Genomic DNA, 24,751 nt, shown 5'->3' with positions numbered 1-24,751 from the left:
ACAATGGAATTATCTAATCAATTTTAAGATGGCTATACAAATACACAGAAATTAAACAGCATGCTCATGAATGACCACTGGGTAAATGAAGAAATTATGAAAATCAACAAAAAAATTCTTAAAACAAAATGGAAACAACACCTGTGGGATACAGCTAATCAGTGCTAAGTGGAAAGCTTATAACAACAATTACCTACATTTAAAAAGTAGAAAGATTACAATTTAACAACCTAACAATCCACTTCAAGCAAAAAAGCAAAAATAAAGAAAACCAAAACAGAAGAAAAGAAATAAAGATCAGAGCAGAACTAAATGAAAGAGTCTAAAAATTACAAAGGAACAATGAAACAAAAAGTTTTAGAAAAGATAGAAAAAATTGATAAGCTTCTAGCTAGGATAACCGAGAAGAGAGAAGACCCAAATAAACAAAATCAGAAATTAAAAAGGAGGTCAGGCATGGTGGCTCAAGCCTGAAATCCCAGCAACTTGGGAGGCCAAGGTGGGTGTATCACCTGAGGTCAGGAGTTCGAGACCAGCCTGGCCAACATAGTGAAACCCCATCTCTACTAATACAAAAATTACCTCGGTGCACACACCTATAATCCCAGCTACTTGGTAGGCTGAGGCAGGAGAATCGCTTGAACCTGGGAGGCGGAGGTTGCAGTGAGCCGAGATCACGCCACTCTACTCCAGCCTGGGCAACAGTGTGTGACTGTATCAAAAAAAAAAAAAAAAAAGGAAAAATTAAAAAGGAGACATTATAACTGATATCACAGCAATAAATAAGATTATCAGAGTCTATTATGAACAACTATATTCTGACTAACTGGAAAACCTAGAGAAAATTCAATTCCTGGACACACAGAGCCTACCAACATTTAACCAGGAAAAAAGAAAACCCAAACAGACCAATAATGAGTAGTAAGGTTGAATCAGTAATAAAAAATCTCCTTTAGGAGATATACCTAATGCTAAATGACGAGTTAATGGGTACAGCACACCAGCATGGCACATGTATACATATGTAACTAAGCTGCACATTGTGCACATGTACCCTAAAACTTAAAGTATAATAATAATAAAATTAAATTTAAAAAAACGAAAAAAATCTCACAACAAAGATAAGCCTGGGAATGGATGGATTCACAGACAAATTCTATTAAACATAAAAAGAAGAACTAATAACAATTTTCCTCAAACTATTCCAAAAAAAAAAAAGAAAATTCTCCCTAACTCATTGTACAAAGCCAGCATCCCCTGATATCAAAACAAAAGGATACAACAAAAAAAGAAAACTATAAACTAATATCCTGAATAAATAAATGAAAATCTCCTCAGAAAAATACTAGCAAATACAATCCAACAGCACATCAAAAAGAAAATATAACATGATCAAGTTAAATTTATACCAGGGATGCAAGGATGGTTCAACACACACTAATCAATAAAAACGATACATCACATTAACAGAATGAAGGACAAAAACCATAGGATCATCCCAATAGAAGCAGAAAAAGGATTTGAAAAAATTTAATACCCTTTCATGATTAATAAAACTCTCAAACTAGGCATAGAAGCAATGTACCTTAAAAATAATAAAGGCCACATATGAAAAACTCATTTCTAACATCATACAGAATGGGGAAAAGTTGAAAGCTGTCCATTAAGAAGTAGAACAAAACAAGCATGCCCACTTTTGCCACTCCTATTTTAACATAGTACTGGAAGTCCTAGCCAAAGCAATCAGGCAAGAGACAAAAGGTATCCAAATTGGAAAAGAGGAAGTCAAACTGTTCCTCTATGTTAATGATATAATCTCATATCTAGAAAAATCTAAATACTTCCCTAAAAAATTTAGATTTGATAAATGAATTTAGTAAAATTGCAGGATACAAAATCAACATACAAAAATCAATAGCATTTCTATACACCAATCAGAATCTAGGTGAGAAGGAAATCAACAGGGCAATCTCATTTACAATAGCCACAAAAATAAAATACCTAGGAATAAATTTAGCCAAGGAGGTGAAAGATCTCTAGAAGAAAAGCTACCAAACACTGAGGAAAGAAATGGAAGATGATACAAACAAAAGGAAAAACTTCCCTTGCTATGGATCAGAAGAATATAGTTAAAATAATACTGCCCAACGCAATCTAGAGTCAATGCAATCCCTATAAAAGTACCAACACCATTTTTCACAGAATTTGAAAAAACAATCCTAAAATACATATGGAAGCAAGTAAGGGCCCAAATAGCCAAAGCAATCCTGAGCAAAAAGAACAAAGCTGGAGATATCATATTACCAGACGTCAAGTCTACAAGGCTAATTACCAAAACAGCATGGTGCTGGTATAAAAGTAGGCAAATAGACCAACAGAACAAAATAGAAAATCCAGAAACAAAGCAAAATACTTAACAATCAACTGATCTTTGACAAAACACACAAAAACATAAGTTGGAGAAAGGACAACCTCTTCAATAAGTGTTACTGTGAAAATTGGATAGCCACGTGCGCAAGAATGAAACTGGATCCTTGTCTCTCACTACATACAAAAATCAACTCAAAATGGATTCAAGACTTAAATGTAAGACCTAAAACTATAAAATTACTAGAATAAAACATAGAGAAAACTCTTCAGAACATTGGTCTAGGCAAAGAATTTATTACTAAGACCTCAAAAGCATATGAAACAAAAACAGACAAATGGGACATAATTAAACTAAAAAGCTTCTTCAAGCAAAAGAAATAATCAATGGAGTGATGAGGCAACCTGTTGAATGGGAGGAAATATTTACAAACTATACATCCAACAGGGGATTAATATCCAGAATATACAAGAAACTCAACAGTACAAAAAACAAATAATTCAATTTAAAAGTGGGAAAAGAACATGAATAGATATTTCTCAAAAGAAGGCATACAAACAGATAATAGGTGCATGAAGAAATGCTCAACATCACTAATCAGATAAATACAAATCAAAATCACAATGCGATATTACCTTACCCAAGTGAGAACGGCTATGAATAAAAAGACAAAAAGTAGCAAATGTTGGCAAGGATGTGGAGAAAAGGGAACTTATACACTGTTGGTGGGAATGTAAACTAGTTTAGCTACTATGGAAAACAGTATGAAGATTTCTCAAAAAACTGAAGATAGAATTATCATTCAATCCATCAATCCCACTGCTGGATATCTACCCAAAGGAAAATAAATCAGTATATCAAAGGGACACCTGCAATCACATGTTTACTGAAACATTATTCATGATAGCAAAGATATGAATCAACTTAAGTGTCCATCAACGCATAAACAAAATGTGGTGTATATATAGTCAGTGGAGTACTGTCAGCCATAAAAAGAATGAAATCCTGTCATTTTCATGCTAAGTGAAAAAAAGATTATATGCATTATGATTTCAGTAATATAAACATTTAGAAAAGGGAAAATATTTTAAGGAAAAGAAATCAGTGCTTACCAGAGACCCAGTAGTGGCACAAAGACATTGACACCGAAGGGGTTGCCAGAAGGCATATTAGAGTGCTGAAAATATTTTATAACCGAATAGTGCCCGTGGTTGCATGACTTTATGCAATTGTCAAAATTGATTGAATTGTATAGGCACTTAAAATTGATGGATTTTATATGTAAATTATACCTCAGTAAAGCTAGCAAAAGTACTTTCTTTGCCCTTGAATTTATGTATTTATATACACACACGCACACAAATATTAGGTAGTCAAACAAATCTGAGGTGAAAAGATGGAATATATTTGAAAACATAGTGATAAAGGTTGTTATAAATTCAAAATCTGTAGTTTTAGAAAATGCTAATTAAAAATATTTGAAGCCATCTTTCGGTTAAAAATGTCAGATCTTTATCACGAGCAAAAGTAATTCTAACTTTTTAAAAAGTCCTATTAAAGCTATTTAAGATACTTCAAAAATACAAAAAGTGAAGGAGAAAGGAACAAAGATTCTCTAAGTGAAAACCATGTGTTAAGTCTTTTAATGTATATATTACCTCATTTGATCCTCACAAGAACTGTGAAAGTTAGATCGAGGTATTGTCTGAGGGGTATCAAGAAGCTAGAGATGTAAAAATGATTCAAATTCAAGCCTATTTTAACCCCAAAGGCTTACATCCAGTCTTACTTTCTATATCCAGGAAGATGGAGTTTTATTTCAAGGTCTTATGAGATCTGGGAAGATATCTAAATGTAGAGAATTTCTGAATACCCCCAAGTAAAGATCAGGTTTTTCTGCATCCTATTTGCCGAGCATTATGCTGGGCCTCATTTAAGCCTTTTAACAATCCAGTGACCTGGGCACTATTATTATAGCCATTTTGCAGATAAAAATCGTTATAATTCTCACTTTCTTTATCTGACACCAAACCCTGTGTTGTTTTTTAATCTCAATCACTGCTCACCTTCATAACTGATCTTCAGTTTTTTTTGTTTTTTTTTTGGTTTTTGTTTTGAGACGGAGTCTCGCTCTGTCGCCCAGGCTGGAGTGCGGTGGCGCGATCTCGGCTCACTGCAAGCTCCGCCTCCCGGGTTCCCGCCATTCTCCTGCCTCAGCCTCCCGAGTAGCTGGGACTACAGGCGTCCGCCATGATGCCCGGCTAATTTTTTTGTATTTTTAGTAGAGACGGGGTTTCACCGTTTTAGCCAGGATGGCCTCGATCTCCTGACCTCGTGATCCGCCCGCCTCGGCCTCCCAAAGTGCTGGGATTACAGGCGTGAGCCACCGCGCCCGGCCGATCTTCAGTATTTTTAGTGTCTGCCATTTTCCATTAGAAACAGTAACTGCACTCTTATTGCAAGTCAAATGCTTAAAAGTCATAAACATACCCATGTAACAATTCTTTCCTATTAAGCCTATTTCTTTGGCAAGTCCACTTACCCTTGTTTCCACCTTCCCTTTATTTGTCCTTGTCTGCTGTGCAATCTCTCTCCCTCAGTTCCTTCCGCTAAAATTCTCGTTATGTCCTAGTCTTTTGTCCAGATATAGAAAATCAGGGTTTTCATTGCAGAAGACAGTGTTGGGATCCCTCAAAGACATAAAACCAGAAATACCATTCAACCCAGCAATCCCATTACTGAATATATACCTAAAGGAATATAAATCCTTCTATCATAAAGACACATGCACGTGTATGTTCACTGCAGCACTATTCCGAGTAGAAAAGACATGGAATCAACCTAAATGCCAGCCAATGATAGACCGGATAAAGATAATGTGGTATATACACACCATGGAATACTACGTAGTCATAAAAATGAGATCTTGCCCTTTGCAGGGACATAGGTGGAGCAGGAGGTCATTATCCTCGGCAAACTAACACAGGAACAGAAAACCAAATACTGAATGTTCTCACTTATAAGTGGGAGCTAAACGATTAGAATACATGGACTCATAGAGGGGAACAACACACGCTGGGGCCTATTGGAGGGTGGAGAGTGGGAAGAGGGAGAGGACTAAGAAAAATAACTAATGGGTACTAGGCTTAATATCTGGGAGACAAATAATATATACAAGAAACCCCTATGGCGAAGCCTGCCTCTTGTCCGTGTTTTTATTGTAAGCAGCTCTATCTTCTATCCTTTAATGTTTTCTATTGAACATTAACTGAAAATGCTATACCATGGGTATAGTTTCCCATCTCTCTGAATTTCCTTCGTCTTTATCCAGTTACTGGGCTTCTGCAGGTGGGTCATAGTGGAAAAATTCCTTCTGCTGTGATTTTTATTGTTATGGTTTATTTTTAATTTGGTCTTCTAGTCTTTTCTAGACTTCAAGGGGCCATAAGCCAAGATAACCACTTTCTAGGAGAGCCCTGATGGGGAAAAGTTGGATTGGGGTGTGTCAGTCAGCTGAGACACGAAGAGGTAAGCCCAAAATGCATGACACAGAATAAATATATTACTTACAGATCCCGGAGAGGTCAGGGGTACAAACAGGAGGCCAGTGAGAAGAGGTGGAAGGGAGCCCAGCCTGCAGGTAAGGGGAGAGAAAAAGACGACCCGTGGACCTCTCAATAAAAGCATTTGGGACTATGCCCTTATTAAGGTCCACGTGTGATAACACTTAGGTTTTCCCTCAGGGGTTGTGGATTGGCTAGTTTACAGAAACACGTGGGAAGTGGAGAATTTATTTACATGACCCTGGTGTTGATCATTTGGGATATTTGTGGTCAGCAGCTGTGAGGTGTCTTGGTGTTTTGTCAGTGGGATGAGGAGCAAGTGGGCTATCTCACAAACAAATGCACAGAGAGGGGAAATTTTAACTAGTCCAAAGGTACTACTGGGTTTCAAAACACTCATGTTAGGCCTAGAAATGAATGCCGATGCAGCAACTATAGTAAAAAAATAAATAAATAAATAAATATCTGTCACACCATCTTATGCAGGGGCTTAATTTTAAAGTCAAGGCGAAAGAAAAGGAACATGCAGGATATCAAAATTGTTATTGAAAAAGTCTTTAGAAAGGGGCCACATGGCAAGTCAATGTACAGTTTCTCAGTGAATCCATTACAGTTATCTTTGGAAAATAAATCACCATTTCTTTAGTCAAGCTGCAGTTGTAGTAGGTGGCTTACACTCGGGTCATTTTCTATAAATACTTATGTCTGTTTATTTAATCACTAGAATTACTTTCAGTGAAGCAAGATGAGCTCACTAGGAAAGTTACTTAGGAATTGAGATCAGCTGAGGTTGAAGAGATTGGTCTCCCATCTCAAGCTCACTGAGTAGAATGGCACTGGAATTACCTGCATTTTCTTGTCCTTTTGCTCCCCCTCTCTCTGTTTACATTTTGGACTGCATTCAGAGTTGAGTTTACTACATGAAATGTATTGGTGATGCAGCACTACTACATCAAGATATAAAGAGTATACCTTATAATCCCTTGCGTGTGGCCCAAAATCTAGACTTAATGGATAACCAGTGTTTCTTTTGTCCTTTTCTGTGGGAAAATTGACCAAAGGATTGGAGAAGTTCACCAGGATGCCAGGTCGCTATGTCTAGGACTTCCAGGCAAACCATTCCAGCAGTTTCCTTTTCTCATACTCAAAAACAAGGGCAATGACATCATCATCTGATATCTGAATCCTATATCTCCCTGTGGCATGATTTAGCAACATACTCTCTCAATTTCATCATCCATGAAGCAGAGATAATGGGAGACAAATTGGTGATTATTAATTTTGGCTAGAAATAAAAACATTCACTTTATGGTTATATGTTGGGCTTATCCCTTTTTCTTACAAAGTTTGGGGTCATTAAAACATCAGCAGGTTTTTGGAAAGTCCTATTCCCTCCTAACTTTTGAAGTTTTCTGTCTTTTGAGGGCAATTTAATCCATATGTTTCTTATTGGCTTTCTCTTAAAACATCAGTGGGTTTTTTTTTTCCTCAGAAGTATACAGTATCGAAGAGGCCTTAATATATGCTTCCAAGGAAGGTTTCTCTTGTTTTGTTTTTCCTTTTTAAAATCTGGAAATTATTGTTTGCCAGATATAAATTAACACAGACACCAAAAGGTTTGAGTTTAGGTTGAAACTTCATATCCACGAATTTTGAATAGGTTCTAAACTTGGCATAACCTATCCTATAGTTGGTCCTTGTGGCCATTGGCTAAAGAAGATAGTCTCTTGTGTTTTAAATAAAATGAAAAAGTTAAACAAATGCAGCTAATAATAAGACATTGGATGTCATCATGCAGCAAAGGGAAAGATCCAAACTCTTTCTCATGAGTTTTGGATCAACCATGCCTGTTATTTAAGAAGCTCACAGGCTACTTGCTTTGCTCCCAGAAACAAAGTACTAGAATTTCAGAGGGCTCAGTTAAGCCCTTTGTCAAATGTTCACAATCATAAAACTCCAGCAAATGCAGGTGGAAGGGGTACAAGTTCATCAGATCCAATGCCATTCTGTTCATAATACTATTCTTAGATAGTATTATGATTCTTACATTGACTCTATCACTCAGCTTGGTTTCTTGGGAATTCAACAGTGCAGAATTCCTGTGCAGAGGGGGACATTTTTTTCAGTTTTTTTTCTGCAGTCTCAGGCAAAATATACATTTTTATGGTTGTACCTTCAGAATTGTTTGGTTGTGACCACCATTACAATCCTTCTTCCCACCAAACATGACTTGCTGTGCCCAACGCAACATGGAAACTGAAAAATACTAAGTCAAGCTAAATCATTAGAGGTGGCTGTGTCAATTTCCCATTGCTACAGTGTCCCTGAATCTACCATTCCTGCAGCTTCAAAGCCCTTGATCACATCTGGTAAATACAGATACCAAACCTAGAGGGATTAAAAAATGGTTATATCATTTTCTGTAATACTTCAGGTACCCAACAGATTAGGGCTTTCTTCTGAGGACCTGTGAGTCTGCCCACTCACTGCCTAGTAATAGAAAAGCAGCATCTCTCATCAAATACCAACTCTGATTCCTATTTGTTTCCCTGGTACATCACTTACTCTTCAGGCTATGATTAATCACATTCAGCTACTTGACATTTCTTCAGATGCCCCATGTGTTTTCACCACACACCACACATTTGCTTTTGCCGCTTCCATAGCCTGGAACTCCTTTCTCCCTGCCTCCCTACTTAATTCATACTCATCCTTAAGTCCCACTTAGATGCTGCATTCTTTACGTCCAAGCAACACAGCCCTAGTCAGAATTCTTCACTCCCTGCTCTCCTCTCGAATACCATTGTGTCTAATACCATTATTAGTAGTACTTATAGTCTAATTAATGCTACAGGTAGAATTTTGTACATCTACCTACTCCAACAAAATGTGAATTCCTTGAATGCATTATTCATCTAAGCATTTCTAGCAACTGACGTTTTAATTTTTTTTCAGTATTTAATTGAATTAGTGCTCAATAGCATAAACCATGTATTATACTAAATTGCATACCATAATATAGTGACAAATAAAATTCTTGACCATGAGCAGTAACGTTCCAAACTGCATTACACAAACATCCACATTTAAGTGTTTTGTTATCTAAGACAAAGCTGACAATCTTTCTTCTGTAGAAATCCAGATAGGAAATATTTTAGGGCTTTGCAGGCCACATACAGTCTCTGTCACATATTTTTCTTTAAAATCTTTTTAAAATGTGAAAACTATTCCTAGCTTGCAGGTTATACAAAAATAAGCCAGGAGCCAGATTTGGCCTGGGGCCGTAGTCTCTACTCCTGTGCAATAAAACTTTCTGTGATGATGGAAAGTTTCTCTACACTGTCCAACACGGTAGCCACTAGACATATATGGCTACTGAGCACATGAAATATGGCTCATGTGACCAAAATATTAAATTCTTAATTTTCTTTCATTTCAATTATTTTTAATTTAAATAGTTATATGTGGCTATTAGCTCACCAACATGAGCAGATAATTTACAGATTATTTGAACTACCAACCCCTTGGAATAAATACGAGTAGATGATTTTGGAAGTGAGCAGTCAGCCACCAGCAAATGTAACTGTGATGATATATGTCTTTACTCAATATGAAACAAAAAGTCCCACAAAATGCCTAAATGTTATTTTTTAAAAAATCTTTCTATTCGTTTGCATTTAGAACAAGGGAAGGATTTTCAGATCTGGTGGCTGCATAAAGTTACTTCAGTTGAGGGGATTCAGAAAGTCAAGGTTAATTCTTGCCATCTACAAGGAGCCCCCAACCCGATAAACTAAAATAAACTAACAAAAATGCTTTTTACTTTTAATTTACTTGCTGATAAATCTGTTACCAATTCCCTGAAGGCCTTTAAGTGCCCCTGCTACCTCATCACCTTTCCTAAGAATATACTACCCTTCAAAATTATGAGGGCCTAGTCTTTTAGGAATCCCTAGGTTCAAATGCTCAGTGAGATGCACGCATTTTTCCTCCACATAGTTGAAGGCATTTGCCATGGTGTTAGCACAATGGGAACCAGATGATGATAAATTGAACAAGAATGGGGGCAGGCAAAACAAGAAGACATGGACAGAGAGTGAGAAAGCAATAGATCAAGGGAGTTGTGGGTCTTCTTGGTCAAAGAATTGTAGAAGAGGGATATTAGAACAAGTCAGCTGAAAGAAGTGTATGGAGTGAGTGAAATTTGAAATTGAGATGTTGGAATTGGAGCAGTCACCAGTGATGATAAGGTCCAAGATGAAACTTGACTGTGGTGGGGTGGAAAATAAATAGTATGTTGTTGGATATAAGGAAGTAAGGGAATGAGAACCAGGTGTTGGATGGGTCATCTGTTGTAGATGTTGAAGTCACAAAAAATGGCAATAGATTTAGGGTGAGGAGCCAAAGTTGTCAGGGAACTGAGGGTGGGCTGCAGTGGCATAACCCACTGGTAAATAGATGACAGCAATAATAAGAGATAGGAGGTGGCATAGAGAGATGGCATCACACTAGCTGCTCCCAGCTCCATTTATATACACAGTTACTTCCTGGGCAAAAGCTGATGTGGGAACATAGGCTCCATTTGTGCTGAGACCTCTGCCAATGAATAGAACCTGCCTTAACCTGCTTGTCCTGGGCTAGGGCCACTTCCCATTTCAGGCCTCAAATACAAAAGGGCTCACCAGCACTTCCAATTTTTGTCCAGTCCCCCAAACATATCATGAGGGTATTCTGGAGTTGGAGACCTCTATCGTTTTGAAAGAGACTCTGGTAAGGACCTATAGTAGTGATGGTTCACCGAAGATATAGAACTAATTGTGTGTGTGTGTGTGTGTGTGTGTGTGTGTGTGTGTGTGTGTGTGAAGAGAGGGAGAGAAAGAGACAGAGACAAAAAAGAGAAAGAGAGAGAACAATTTATTTCAAAGAATTGGCTCACATGATTGTGGAGGCTGGCAAGTTCAAAATCTGCAGAGTAGTTAGGTAGGCTGGAAATCCAAGGAAGAGCTGATGTTGCAGCTGAAGTCTGAAGCCAGTCTGCTGCCAGACTGGAATTTCTTCTTCCTCAGGGAGAGCTCAATTAGTTTTTTTCTTAAGACCTTCAATTGATTGGAAGGTAATATGCTTTATTCAAAGTCTACTGATTTAAATGTTAATCTAATCTAAAGAATACCTACACAACAACATGGAAGACTGAGAGTAGGAAATTGATATAAGTTATGCAAGATTTTAATTAAAATATAAATGCTTCCAACAAACTATGTTTGCTAACTCAGAAGATATCATCTCTTGCAACATTGGCCAAACTCTTGCATGCAGATATAAAGGGACATTCCATAGTGCTTGCTAGTTTCATCTTTTTATGAAGTCACCATTTCTGCACCTTCTTCTCTTTTATTCTCAAGGGAGTTCTACTTTCTCATGACTTTGTTTCTTTTCTAGATTTCTCTCATGAAAAATGAGTCTACTTCTGCCTTCTTAGAATATGCTTACTCACCAGGAGACACAGGCAGGTAATTTACATATTGCTATAGAAGAGTCTAGTGCAATACTTGTGAATTCAAAGTCTGTCATACCTGTCTTTGTTTTCAGAAAGTCTCTGTTAATCTCCTCTGATCTCTCACGAATGCAGAAGATACCAGCCACTCCTAGAGTTGAGCGCTACTTTATTCATTGGTAACTAACTTTATTATTTACACTACACAGACTTCTGCACCATAGACATAGACACTGCCAATTATAAATATTCACTGCACACCAAACTACCTAGAAATCTATTATATATTTTGGAACCTTATTGGCAAATAGGTTATGATTATTGCTTTGGCAGAAACCCACTGCAATACACAGCACCCGGCATCCAGTAGCATATTTTATTCTTGCTATTGTAAATGAATACTTGAAAACAAATTCCTGGAAGTTGATACTTTTGCCTAAGAACTGTGAGATGTCTGCTGTCTAAATCACAATGGAGTTGCTTATTTAAAAATGAGGCATTTATTGCCTGACTCCTACATTTATTAAAGTGTTTTCAGTGGAACCTTTAAAGAACTCAAAGGCAAAAAAGGGGCCATCGTTTTCTATCCCAGGAAGCGTCCCATTAATGTTCCTCGTATAACTCAGCATGTGTTGAGTAATTTCTCATCTTACATTATTATATAGAAACCCGGAGGCCAACTGACCACCCAAGCAGGCTGCTTTAGGAAGAAATAGTCTATCTTTGATTGACAGAGCAAGCCCAACATGCAGTATAAGAGTGAACAGCATATACAGACCATCTGGGAATCAAGGAAGAAAATGATACATTTTGGACTCATTGGCCGATAATAACAGGAAGCCAGAGTGGCCACGGGAGTTTGAGGACAAAGTCAAGTTCAAGTGAACCTCAAAAATGTATGAATAAAAAACCGGTTCGATTCATTGGACAGGCAGTAAAATTCTTTTTATCCCACATCCTGCAGAGAATCCTAGTTATAAAACAATCTAAATGTCTACCAGGCTCTCATCCTAGAAAAAAGTCACTTTGCCAAGGTTTACCTTATGCCCCCCAGACTTGCGTTTCCTTCTGTTTGTCTCTAAAGTTGCAGCTTCAGTAGAGTCAGTTGTTTGAACATATGGTATTTTTCTACTTGACAAAGTTCAATGGTTTCAGGTAGGCAAATTATAACTGATGTATTATTTTCAAATTCTGTTGTGTTGAAATGTTTAATGCCACTAGGAATTATAGAGGCCATAACTACAACTCTTTGGGAATTTCTCATTCACCCAATATAGTGCTAGTGAGCACCAAGAAACCAGAAAGAAGGCATTGTGTGCAAGCAAATGCCACATCTCTTATTTCCCATATTCATAACCTACCTAAGGCAATTCAGACTGAAAACAAAATTTTCTCCTAGCCTTTTCTTCTTTTCATAATCTAAATGTATCAAGATAAGGACACTTAAAACTGATACTGTAATCTACAAATCAATCACTGGAAGTTGAATATAATGAGAGGAAAAGTGATTCATTTCATCACTGTTTAAGGACAGAGGAAAAAATAATTTCATCTATTCATATATTTAAGACTATTTTTCAAGTATGAAAAAATTATGAGAGTCTAAATTATGTTAGCATTAGAAAAGAATTTCTTAATATGAAAGTCTAAGGATGCCTGGAAACCTGTGGAAAGAAAGAATTCAGATGGTCTGTGAACCTGAATGAGGAAAAAAAAATCACATCCTCATTTTTGCTAAGCTCTAATTGAAATTTAGTATTTCATTCAACTATGAAGGAAGACTGCAAATCATAGTAGCATTGATAGTACCTGTGACAGACATTTTCGTATCACGTTACATGTGTTTCAGATATTTCAAAATACCATTAACACTTGTCACTTCTTTAAAATTATAATATTTATTAAACCCACTATTGGATTTGGTTATTTAATGCATTAATAAAGAAGCAAAATTATTTTGATATCAAACAATTCTTTTTAATAACTTGATAACCATGTTCAATATAATTATTAATAGTTTTTTTGTAAGTATGTCTTATACATTCAGATGCATTATGAGAAAGTAGCCACCTATATTGTCTGAAATAGAGACTTAAGGAAGTTTAAGAAGAAAATTTCCAATCTCTTAATTGTTTCATAATTTCTGTTTGAACTTTAGATAAATATTTTAGGAAGTACTGTCTCTCCCACTACCACCAGATTAAAATATTTCCATTTCCTGTCACCCTCTCTTCTCTCTCCATATAGGATGATATAGCACACTTACTTTGCCATGGTTTAACTCTTTTTCATTTTGTTCTCTAGCTATCTTTGCTCAATTTACTAAATTTATACTATATTCAAATTTAAATTAATTTTATATTTAGATTTACCAAGTATTTTCTGTTCCTGAGCTCTTTCTTTTCGTTCATCTTTTTTTGGGGCAAGATGTTATTGCAGAGTTGATTTTTAAGAAGTGCTAACGAGTGCTATATTCCTTGATTTCCTGTATACTTGAGATTGACAGTTCTGTTTATATTTGAACAAGTAGATAGATGCAAGATTCCTGGGTCTGCTTTTATTTTCTGTCCTTCAGAACTTTGTAGACATTTCTCCTTTGTGTTCTGCCATAGAATAGTGCTATAAAGAAGACTTAAGCCTGATTTTTGTTTTATTGTAGATGACCTGTTTTCCTACTCATTTTCTTTAAAAAATTTGTCATTGTTTACATTAATTCTTTTAGCCAGAATATGTCTAGATATTTATCGTTCTGAATCAAATGTTCCTGGCACTCAATTTTTTGCTTTGCCTGTGAAATTCTTCTTTTATGTCAGAAGATTTTTCCAGCATTATGTCTTTGAATGGTTCAATTTTTTAGATTCTATTATTTAGGAATGTCAGTTGATACTTATTGGACTATACTTGGCTTCTCCATATCTATCCACTTCTTTTTAATTTTTTTCTCTTTTTACTTTTATGCTGCATTCACTATAATTATTGCAGGTTATTCCTTTACATCATGATTTAATTTTTTTCCGTGAATATTCTATGCATTAAATTTATACATAGATTTATTATATAAAATATGGTATAGATTTTGGTTCTCAATTTGTTGTTAGCTGTTCATCACATCTAGCCATTTATTTTCAGACATTTCAGCCTTTGCGATTTTTTTCTTTTAATAGCAGGAGGCATTCTTCAATAATGTTTTCATCTAGACTAGGTTTCAGGTTCTTCATCAGTCTTACATTTGTTATATCCTGTTTCATTAAAATTGACTCCCAGATATTAAAAAATGATCTTCTGATTTCACATAAAATTTACCCTCCCTCCTTCCTCCAACTCAGGCTTGACCTATGCTCAGGTGCCTACACTGAAAGGAGATGAGGTGCACTCCTTCCTTTTCTCCTTGATTCTTCCCATTCTGTAATGGGTTCCTCAGGATGAAAGGAGAGGAAATGGAAAACAGCAAATGTGTAGTGCATGTTTAAACATTGGCCTTGTCATGACACAAAGCTCTGGGGTGCTTCAGAGATCCATTAGGTACCTGCACTACTGTTCCCTGACATAGATGAGGTGCTCTTCTGCTGACCTCAACATACTCCTCACTCCCAGCTCCTGCCCCAGAGGGTCACTCTACAGTCTCTTTTACTGAAGTCCCCTTGCTCTAGAAGTTGTGCTCTTGGTTTGGATTTCAACAAGACAGCTAGAGTTGGTCACATTCTGCAGCACCCACTTTGGCCCTAGGAAGCTCCACATCTTGGCCGTATCAACCAATAAGAGGATGCAATGCTCTACTTTGACTCTCCCTTGCCCTCCCATCACTGGCTCTTCTAGCCAAACTGCTGCCTTTACAATTCTGTGGAAAGAGGCATGTTTTGTGTACATGCAGGTGACACAAGTTCTCCTAGTATCTCTCTCACCATGCTTTGCTCTGGTGCCATGAGTGGGCCTACAACTTTTGCCTCCTCAGTAAACAGCCTGAAATTGAGATGCTCTCTCCCCTTCCTGCAGGCTTTTTACATTGTCATCTACGATGTCAATGATGAGTGATTCTCTTGAACCACCCACACTTGGACCTGGTTTGGGCCTAGGACACAGCATTCCTTTACCATCTCCAACCAGAAAAAAAGTAATTAGTTGTATCTACTAGACAAGTTAAAGCTCTCTACCTCCATGAGCCCTCTTCCCATTTTATTCCTCACTTGAAATAGTCTGAGATATGGGGCATTGGGTGGTAAGGGAGCCTTGAGCAAATATATAGGAGATCCTTGGCATTCTCTTTAAGAATGAAGGTACTTATCACATACTTCCCTCTGCTCTATGATTTAGCACATTTTCTCGAGGTATCAGGAAAAGGCTCAATTCAATACTTAGGACAGAAGTGGTGAAATATCTTTCTCCCCTAATATTTCTAATTGTTTAAGTAATAATGCTTATAGACCATAGGTTATTGGATATGAAGTGGTTAATTTGTGGCACTCCACCAAGTCATGCTGTTTCCGGAGTACTTAATGGTGTTACATAGGAAACTTCATGGCTTACATATTTCTGTCCAGCTGTAAAAGCCAGTTTTACTGCCGAGTCCATTGGAGAAGTAATTGCTCCTTATTAAACAACATCACCCCCTCCCTTCAGAGCAGCTAGAGCAAAATGCAGAGAAGGAAACTGTGTGGAACAAAGGCTGCTGCAGGTACAGTTGTTAGTTTGCAGTCATACTGGAAGAAAGCAAAATCGAAATTTGCAGGGACAATTTTTCGTGAGACCTTATTAAATACTTTACTGAAGATGAACTTTGGGATGTCAAAAGGAGACACTGAAAGTAAGACGCCTGATTCAAGAAGCTGTCACTCCTGGCATAGACCAGTTTAACTTGTGTCTTAGCATGCTCAAGCTGCTGTAACAAAATACCACAGCCTGGGTGGCTTAAACAACAGTCACTTATTTCTCACAGTTCTGGACGCCAGGAAGCTCAAGATCAAGGTACTAGCAAGTTTGGTTTCTGGTAAAGGCCTCTTCCTGGATTGAAGATGGCTGCTTTCTCACTGTATTCTCACATAGGGGAGAGAAAACCATCTCTGTTCTCTTCCTCTTCTCATGAGGACAGTAATCCCAAAACAGGGCACCCATCCTCATGACCTCATGTAAACCTAGCTACTTCCCAAAGACCCCACCTCCAAGTACCATCACATCAAGGCTTAGGACTTCAACATACACATTTTAGGATAATACAAAATTTAACCACAGCAAGTAGGGACAAGATGGAACACAAGACAACTAGTCATGAGAATTAACAAAAAGCCAGCAGAAGATTTTGGACTAAACCAGAGTAAAACAGGTTCTCATCTATCATTGGGTGAGAAGAATCTGGAAATCAATAGCAGGACCACCCTGTATATTTTTCAAAACAGGATTATATGCTTATACTAAATCAACTCCAAAGTGTATATAGTTTTTATTGCAGAGTGAGGTAAGTTTTTCTCTACACAATTTTTGTTGCTATTCCAAAGTCCCAGTTAAACAATCTTTCCAGTTACTATAATAAAACTGTGTAGGATGTGTCTATTTAATCTGACCATTGCAATAAAAGTTCTGTATAATGGAAATATAAGTATATCCCACACATTGTGTTTCTGAGTAGCAGGCTGTTCAAAAAGCATAGTTCAAAAGACAACAGTCATTTGAAAATAGTTCAGCTTTCCCCTTGGAATTTCTTATATCAGTTAAAAATGATTGACATCAAAATATTCCCCAAAACATCAAAAAATGCTCCTTTCCCTTTTCCTGAAATATCATAGCCACTACCTCATTTCTCAAACCTGAAAGACCCTCTTGAAAATAAGTTTTTGCTGCCAGGAATGCCTATCATTCACTACAAGCTTAAAGGGCATTTTAGGAAGGCTAGGCGTTTATATGGCTTTTCTCTCACCCTTTACAATCCATGGGAAAATGAAGTTCCACTCCTGTTACTTCCTTCCAAAGAATCTGCTGGTGGCTTCTGTGCCCTCTGTCATCCTTTACTGGAAGAGAGAAGGTACATATACGTAAACACATGTCTCAATAGCCCTGACTTCACTACATTCCAAAAAGACTCCGTTTCAGCATGCTGCACTCAGGGTTCAATGTACATTACAGATTCTTAAGGAAAACTAGAAAACTGGGTGATTTATGGGTTATATGTCCCTAGGGAGATGCCAAAAACATCTATGATGAGTTCTATTGTTCCTAAAATTTCCATTTGAGAAAAGTCAATTTTAAGTAAATACAAAGGCAACTTTAAATGTTGAAAACTAAATGGTAGGTAGGAATGACAAAAGGTGATTCCATCAGTTTTGTCAACAACACCATGGGTGTGGTAGGAGGAGATTAGACTATATTTTTAAAGACTGGGGTCCTAAGTCTAATGACACACCCAGCATGGCTAGGCCCGGGCCTATGCTCTCACCTCCCAGGGAGCAGGAGAGCACAGCAGTTAAGAGCATAGACCTGGAGTCAGACTTCCAAGCCTGTTTGTGTCTTGGCCTCTCCAATGCCATTTAGCAGTTGGTGCAACATCACTTTACCTCTCAGTTGAATGACTTTGTCTATAAAATGAGGCTGATATTTCACAGGGTTATTATGGGCTTTAAGTGAATAAAATATATGTGAAACACTCAAAAATAGTGCCAGAAGGGTGTGGGGTATAAGAGAATTCCCTGTACTATCTTCACAGTTTTTACTGTAAATGCAAAACTGTTCTGAAAGTTAAAAAAAAAAAAAAAAGGCTGCAAAGCAAATGGTAACCCATACATGTTACTTATTATCTATTATAATTACATTGCCTCCAATGAAAGGCTGCTTATCCTTATCCCCACTTCACAGATAAGGAAAGTGAGGTCAGAAAGGAAAAGATTACTCTCAGTTTTATGCAGATAAAGAAAACTGGGCCAAGATTCAATTATAGGATTGATCCACGGAAGGAAAGAACAAAGGGAGGGAGAGAAGAAGGAAAGGAGGAAGGAAGGAGGGGGAAAGGGAGGGAGATAGGGAGGGAAGGAGAAGAGGCATGAAGGGAAGAAGGCCAAAAGGAGGGAATAAATCACTGTTTTTCATGTTACACCCCTCTGCCTCCTTTTCCCTGTGTAATTTGCTAGCTGTGTGACCTTGGATGAATTGTGTCAACTCTCTGAGCTTCAGTTCTATGATCAATATAATAAGGAAAGTGTTGTCCCTCCCAACCACACAAGATTTATGGGAGGATTAAATGAACTAATGTAGGTAAACATGCTTTGTGAGCAATGCTGAGTTGGATAAATAAAGGGAAGCTTAGTGTCACAAGTGTTTCCCATTTTTTACAGCTCATAAAAATACGTGCCACAGTTCATTCAAACGTCAGCTCTCAGCACCTCAAGATTTGTCATTCATTTATTTGACACATTTACTGAACTCCTCTGGTGTTCCAAGGACAGTAGCTGGCACTGGGTAGGCCTAGTTGAATAAGAGTCAGCCCTACCTTGGAAAGTTCACGGTCCTAGGGAGGAGAGATACTTAATCATGGATAAATACAATATGGTGCAAGGCATAACACAGTGGAAGGCCATCTGTGCTTTTCAGGATAATTCACTCTGCCCCTGGGGTTATTGGGGAGGCTTCACAGAGGAAAAAAAGGCTTACATGGGGTCCTGAGGGATGAGTAGGAGTTTGTACCTTCTTGTCCCCGTCAGTTGACCTGAGTTACTGCCCAGCTGTCAGCTGTTAGGCCCCACTGAGCACCAGCTCCAGGGTTTCCTATGATTTAGGTGGGTCATCTGAGGACAACATGATTCTAGGTAGTGTCCAAATGCCTCATTTCTTAACATTTACATTGTCCAGAAATTATTGTCCATCCACTCCCACTCCAGTCCAAGAAGACTGTCTCTTCACACCAAAGTGCCTGCTAATTAAAGACAGGAGATTTTCCCTTGCTGATTCTGGGAAGCCCACTTTTATTTCCTGATCTGAAAAACTTTAGGGGAAAAATCTACTCCCCCTTTGGAAAGATCTACAGACACACACTGTTCTTGCAAAGATGAGGCTGCTTGTACTCCCGCTCAGTATAATAATTGTTAGACAAACATCTGCGCTTTCCATTCCCATTATTGTGGTTTGTGTGAATTGCAGACACCAAGTTGCTGACCTCCCAGCCTGCCACAGAAGCCTGACATTTATCTCCCTGGTGCCACTCTAATTTGCAAAGGAAATGGCAGAAATGCAACCAAGAGAAAGAATGCATGAGAATGCATGAGGTGACCTTGGTAGAAAGACGTGCACCCTACCAAATTGAACTTTGAACTTCATTAAATGCACGTTTTATTTTAGTTGGTAAATGCACAAATAATGGGCTGCTGGTGAGACAACGGCATTGAGTAGCAGCAAGAACATGAGCTCTGAAATTAAACAGGCCTGGATTCAAATTCACACTACTTCACTTTCAAGCTGTGAAGTCTTGTTACTAAACTCAGAGTTTCTATTTTTCTCTTGGAAACTGAAATAAAATGAATGTGTTGTCTCTTATGATGTCAAGGGCCCCTCAAATTCTAATAATCCAAGATTATATTAATTGTGCTAATGTAAGCAGCAAATATTTAACAATCGTTCAAATAATTTCTGAGTCTTCCCTGTATTTCAGGCCCCATGCTGAAAGCTGGGGCAAACAGAATAAGAAAGAAAACCTTGCTCCTGTCCTCAAATAGATGATGACCAGCATGGGCCTTTAATTGAGGTAATGAGCACACAAAGGCTAAGAGACAACAAGTGTCTTAGTAGCAAGTGCCAGGAGGCTGGTCGGAGAAGGAGGGAGGAGAGAGTCACACCTTGAGAAAGGAGTAAAAATAAAATGGTTAGAGAGAAGAGAGAAAGGGCAGCTCAGGCATGGCGGGGGGCAGGGACGGGGGCACAGAGGAGCAACAATTCTATCTCGAACGTGTGTGCTGGGGGCTTTGTGTTAGAAAACTGAGACACACAGTCTGATACATTTTTGTGCCATTTCTGGACACAAGAAGCAGACTGTAAGGTATCAGTTGGTTTTCTATAACTTCCTGATTGACAGATCCAATAGCCACTACTTAAATCCCTTTGCCCTTTGACTTCCATAAAGCACTTTAACATCCCTAAGCAACCTACTTTGTGGAATTCAGACCTCTTGGTCCACCGAGAGTCAGGTGGCCTCCTGAGCCACTCGCCTCTTCCTCTCAGTCTTTTCTGCTTCCTCCCCTTCCTCTGCCTAGCCTGGACTGTACAAGGTTCCCATGAGGTCTGTTCTAGTTCTGTTATCTTTCTCCTTCTACCTATCTTTCCCTAGAAAGCTCTTCCACTCTCACCACTTCAACTTCTACCTCAAGGCCAATGACCCCTGAATGAATACATCTACTGCAGGCCAGCTCCCTCGAGCCTCAGATCCCTATGGATGGGATATCTCTACCTGGTGTCCCATATGCTCCTCACGCCTAGAGTGCCCAAAGCTAAATATGACCCCAACCCCCCGCCTGCTTTTCTTCCTGTGTTCCTTCCAGTGTTTCCCCATGCTCTGTGTCCACACCAAGCTGAAGCACAAAGCATAGGCTCCTTCTGCTGCCTTCAAGGCATGTTATCCAAGAGAATACCCTGATAAGGAAAATACCCTAAAAAGCTTTATCCTCTTATTAGGTTTTTTGTTTGTTTGTTTCTGCTGTCTGCAGCATTCAAGGGGCCCCAAAATACATCCACGCCTCACTCCTTTCTGCCTCAAACCCTCACTCGTCCATTTCTACTGGTCTCTGAACCAGTAGAATGTTTGCAAATTAAACAAAGCATTTCACCGGGTGTGCAAGAGGACCCCCTAGTGGTAAAGAGGATCACAGCCTACTTTCCATTTCTCTCCTTCCCATCATACCTGGGAGTCTCCACCTTTCTGAGTCTCATTCTGTGCACATTTAAATTGCAGACAGTCCTCAAATATCTGTGGAGTTAATGAGAAAGCGTAAAGTGAATTTGAAAACTGCAATTTTTAAGTATGCATATAAGAGAACTTGTAGAAAAAGCACTTTTAAGAAGCAGGTCAACTGGGAAATTGCCTTGTTACTATAAGGTGCACTAAATCATCACTGGCTAAATAGTGCACTAGATAGAAAAATGTAGATTTATCAGAGCACCTCTCGGGAAAAGTACTGTGTGTGGTTGGGCGCTTTTATAACCTCGTTGGAGAGAAAGAGTAAGACCCTTCAAGGGACGTGTCGTAGCGACCACAAATGGTCACTATCACCACCTTCTTTAAATCTATGTTAGGAGTGAAGAGTGACACTAGCATGTTCTGTTTTCTGGGTTCTAGTAAGGTGCTATGGCAGGATAGTATTATTTAATTAAATTAAATGTATTATAAAATACATTATCTTATTGAATGTATGTGCTTGCGTTATGCTGTTTTAAAAGGCCTGGATAGGAGGGGTTGGGCTAGCTTATGATATGCTCTTTGGAGTTGGTCATTATGCAAAGCGTGGCCAACAATGATATTGTATAAAATTTCTTTTTGTTGTGCTAGTTTCAGGCCTCCCAGAGGTCTGCTGTTTCTTAACCAGGCTCTTTAAGAGGGAAATTTATAGGTGATGTGATGGGATTAAAGGTATTCTTCCTCCCCCATCACCCATAGTTTCAACCTGCTTCTTCCATAGCACTTCACAATATCTATATAAGCTTGGATAATTGTTTGTTTGAATTCAGTAAACGCTTCACACATGTTAATGGGATTTTTCCAACAGTCTGAGCCCCACCATGAAATCTGATTTCTTCTCCCCACCCTAACCCAGCCCCATTGTAAGCAGCCCATGAAATGCTTACCACATCCCTATATATGCATGGACCTTCAATTGTAGCTTGAGCACACTCATGCTTCTAGGCCCTCCAACAGGTGTATAATTGTTATGCTGTACAATGTCATCCAAGGAATTTCTCAACTTATTTATGCAAATTCTATATGCCACAACTACTCTGTTTTTGACAAAATTTATACCCCAAAATAGTCCAAAACATTGTGTAGGCTACATCTCTAAAAACAATAATATTAAGTATGTTACAGCTGATTTTTTAATTTTAAATTTCCACATCAAAATGCCAAAGAATAGATAGATAGATAGACAGATATAGATATATATACATATAGATAGATATAGATATAGATATATAGATATATCTGTTCTCCTCTCCCTATCTCAAAAATCAAGTAAAACCCTGTATAGTTTTAAGGAAGAGGATTGGAAGGTCATTGCTTATGCTATATGTGTTGAACCCACTAAGTTCAATTATATAACAGGTTCATTAAGTATTCTCTTTGGCATACTTTTGCCTCTCTGGACAGTGAATTTATGAGCTGTGTGAGGTCTCACCCATATGCTCTGCCTTAATCTTAAATTCCAACCCAATTTATGACTCATCACCTCAAGTGGGAATATGAACAATGACATCTGCTGCAACACTGAGTAATTTTTCCTCATGACTCAGCCACCAAGTGGTCATAAATGTGTCATTAAGAACCACTCAAATATGGTTGCACTAAGTTGTCTTGTGTAAATACCCCACATTTTAATCTGAAACTAATAGCAATCATAATCTAAGATAGGGAGCACTTTCCCATGTTATCAAAGAGTTGATCTACCCCAGTTTCTGTCAGCAGTTACCACATAGGATCATGGTATTATAAAATCAGCTAAAACGATTCCATTGAGCCCAATCCCTCAGCTTCCAACTGAAAAGTACGGCTAAGTTTTGTTAGAATTTATTCCTATTGCATTCTTTCACTGTATATTTAACAAGTATTTATTGAGTTCATATAGTTTATGGGAAAGAAATTAAAATGCTCATCTGGAGATCTGAGTTCTGGTCGTAATAGCTAATAACAAGTTATATGAGCTTGATCAATCACTTAATCTATTTGGAACCATTTTCTCCTTTATCAAATGACTGGTTGTACCTCACAGGGTCATTGTAAATTTCAAATAAGACAAAAGGATTTTAAACTATCATTAGTATATTACTTAAGTAATTGTTATTCTCATATTGTTATCTTGACAGTCTCAAGTTATTGGCAGCTTAGCCATTACCAATAACACAGGTACAGATTACATCTTTTATTTCTGTGAGTTATCCCATTGGCCATAACAATCTATACAATAAACTTGCTTAAATGAGTCTTTTGAGTTGAATTACTGCTCTAGAATTTTATATTAAATCTAATTATACGTACTATAGTGAATTACATAGAAAGTGCTATTTCTTATTTTGACTGATATTCATCAATATAAAAATCTTAAATTGATTGATGGTTTTGTTCTGATGTACACTCTTCAGTTCCTGAGAGTGAGCAATTGATCTGATACATGAAGGTTAATATCACATTAAGAGACTTGGATAAAATGATACCAGATATAATGCTTCCAGGTTTCTTTTAATGTTCATAGTTATCACTGTGCCCTGTGTCGGTGCCTCAGGTAGTCTGGTTTTTATGCTCATACTTTGTTTCACTTCCCTATAAGCCAGATAATGTTAGCACAAATAGAATGAGGTGCAGGAGTAGCTATTGGAATAGATAGTACCTATATTACAAATGATCCATGATGGTAATACAGGATGTCAGAAAGAAAAATAATCAGAAATAGAGGAACGTTAAAGCCATTATTAAGGAGTAGCTGAAATGAGAAAGGTATAACCTACAAGAAAAGTAAATGAGTTTTTAAAAATCTATCAAAAGGAATACACTAAATGCCTTTGTTCAATCGTTTTTCCCCTTGGCTTCCATGTACTACAATGTCCTGGTTTTCCTCCATCCTTACTGGTCACTCCTTCTCAGGTGGTTTCTTGTCTTCTCCTAGATTTCCGACCAGTAGAGGATACCATGACATGACCCCACTCTTGGTCCCTCCCCTTCTCTATTGTTGTATAATCACTTGAAATCATGTCTCTTGGCTTTAAAACCAGCTATCTACTGAAATCTCCCTATTCTTCCAAATTGCAGACTGACATATTCAACTGCCTACTCACCCTCTGTACTTGGATATTTAATTGTCATCTCAAAATTAACATGCCCCATATGTATTTTTTATCTCCCCTCCCCGCAACACATACACAATAACTTACTGCACTTGCAGTCCTCCCCATCTCAACTGATGGCAATTTCATACTTCTAATTGTTACCACTATGATTTCATCTCCTAATATGTTCCCTTTAAATTATGCACGCTCGCTGGTCTTTTTGCTGTTCCCTGAATTTGCCAAACAAGCTCCCATCCTCCCCAGGGCCTCTGGCCTAGATGCTCTCTGCTTGTATATATCTCCCAGATGCCACATAGCTAATCCTTCATT

The 24,751-nt window shown here is 37.9% G+C and overlaps 1 long non-coding RNA gene across 2 annotated transcripts in view; it reads right to left on the bottom strand.

The window, feature by feature from the left end:
• Positions 1 to 675: 675 nt before the first annotated feature.
• Positions 676 to 24,751, bottom strand: part of LOC102723803 (uncharacterized) — a 182,624-nt gene continuing 158,548 nt past the window's right edge. Inside the window, exons 4-8 of one of the 2 annotated variants that reach the window (XR_002956872.2) lie at positions 17,334 to 17,424; positions 10,868 to 11,027; positions 5,939 to 6,002; positions 4,911 to 5,058; positions 676 to 712 (exon numbers count right to left, since the gene is read on the bottom strand). This is a non-coding gene — a long non-coding RNA (uncharacterized LOC102723803). The remainder of the gene's footprint in view (positions 713 to 4,910; positions 5,059 to 5,938; positions 6,003 to 10,867; positions 11,028 to 17,333; positions 17,425 to 24,751) is intronic. The other variant, XR_929415.3, reaches the window with a different exon arrangement.

Source organism: Homo sapiens, chromosome 9 (assembly GCF_000001405.40).
Source record: "Homo sapiens chromosome 9, GRCh38.p14 Primary Assembly".
Lineage (NCBI taxonomy): Eukaryota > Metazoa > Chordata > Mammalia > Primates > Hominidae > Homo > Homo sapiens.
The sequence above is the reverse complement of the archived record's forward strand: the minus strand, read 5'-3'. Positions and strand labels throughout refer to the sequence as shown.